The sequence below is a fragment of the Homo sapiens genome, chromosome 2 (genome assembly GCF_000001405.40).
Source record: "Homo sapiens chromosome 2, GRCh38.p14 Primary Assembly".
Classification (NCBI taxonomy): Eukaryota; Metazoa; Chordata; class Mammalia; order Primates; family Hominidae; genus Homo; species Homo sapiens.
In genome coordinates, this window is record NC_000002.12 from 53,485,569 (window position 1) to 53,487,234 (window position 1,666).

The window sequence follows — 1,666 nt, forward strand, 5'->3', positions numbered from 1 at the left end:
TAGGGAGTACTTCAGGGAGATGAGTGTTCTTTTTTGTGGAATTCATGCCTTTCCAGCACCCGAAAGCCAGGATGAGATTTTTTCAAGTTCTGTGTTGCTTTTAGGAAACAGACATCCTAAAAATAGATAAATGAGGATTTGCTTGAGTTTGAAAGAGTAACTTTGTGTCTACACTTACAAAGGCCCAAGCTGAGCTAGAGAACAGTACTAGAAGCTTTTCAATAAAGCTAAAAAGGGAAGTACAAATATCTCCTAGGTGAGAACAAGGTTTAAAAAAGAAGTAAAGAAAAAAAAAAAAGTAGAAAAAATCCAGAAAGGCTGAGACAAAGATAAGTTTCTTTGGAGAGTAGCTTTAGCCTTCTTAGTTGGCACTTGCTCTAATAAGGATTTTTTATCTTTAGTTTTCCTACTTCTTCATTGTGGCTGTCATTATCTCGCACTTTGTTCTCTATTTTGGTCAACTAGAAAGAGCTGAGCCTGGGACCAGAAAAACACCTGATTACTATTATTGTTGTGTGCTGAAATGTGTCCCTCTCAAAAAATCACATGTTAAAACCTAACCCCTAGTACTGAGAGGTGAAGCAAAATGACCTCCATTGCTGGTTCAAACCCAGATGCCACACTGGGTTGCGGGAGTGTGCTTGGTTCCAATATTTTGTCCATCTTGGGGTTTTTTTTGGACCGCAGGGATCCCTTCCACTGCCAGTACTGTTGTTGACTTCCATCCCCATGCCCAAGCCCCCGGAAGGCTCCCGCGTGGCCCAAGCCCCCCTCCCCACCACGAGGGGCGCCACTTCCTGCTCCACAGCGCCCTGTCCATCAACCGCCCGAGGGCTGAGGAGTGCCAGGCGCAGCAGGGGACTGGCGGGCAGCTCTGCCCGTGGCCCCAGTGCAGGATCCACTAGGTGAGGCCGGCTGGGCTTCTGAATTGCTGGGGACCTGGAGAACTTTTCTGTCTAGCTAAAGGATTGTAAATGCACCAATCAGCACTTTGTGTCTAGCTCAAGGTTTGTAAATGCACCAATCAGCAATCTGTGTCTAGCTCAAGGTTTGTAAATGCACCAATCAGTGCTCTGTGTCTAACTAATCTAGTGGGGCCTTGGAGAACTTTTGTGTCTAGCTAAAGGATTGTAAATGCACCAATCAGCACTCTGTGTCTACCTCAAGGTTTGTAAATGCACCAATCAGTGCTCTGTGTCTAGCTAACCTAGTAAGAGCTTGGAGAACTTTTGTGTCTAGCTAAAGAATTGTAAATGCACCAGTCAGCACTGTGTGTCTAGCTAGAGGTTTGTAAACGCACCAATCAGCACTCTGTGTCTAGCTAAAAGTTCGTAAATGCACCAATCAGCGCTCTGCGTCTAGCTAATCTGGTGGGGACTTGGAGAACTTTTGTGTCTAGCTAAAGAATTGTAAACGCACCAAAAAGCTCTCTGTAAAACGGACCAATAAGTAGGATGCCGGTGGGGCCAGATAAAGGAATAAAAGCAGGCCATCCGAGCCAGCAGCGATAACCTGCTCTGGTCCCCTTCCACACTGTGGAAGCTTTGTTCTTTTGCTCTTTGCAATAAATCTTGCTGCTGTTCACTCTTTGGGTCCATGCCGCCTTTATGAGCTGTAACACACACCACGAAAGTCTGCAGCTTCACTCCTGAGGCCAGCGAGACCA

The 1,666-nt window shown here is 46.0% G+C and overlaps 1 annotated feature.

The window, feature by feature from the left end:
• Positions 535-1,354: an enhancer, noted in NCBI's record as "H3K27ac-H3K4me1 hESC enhancer chr2:53713241-53714060 (GRCh37/hg19 assembly coordinates)". NCBI's record gives its function as "activates a minimal SCP1, AML or CMV promoter by ChIP-STARR-seq in naive H9 embryonic stem cells {active_cell/tissue: H9 hESC(naive)}" and the evidence as "EXISTENCE:reporter gene assay evidence [ECO:0000049][PMID:30033119]".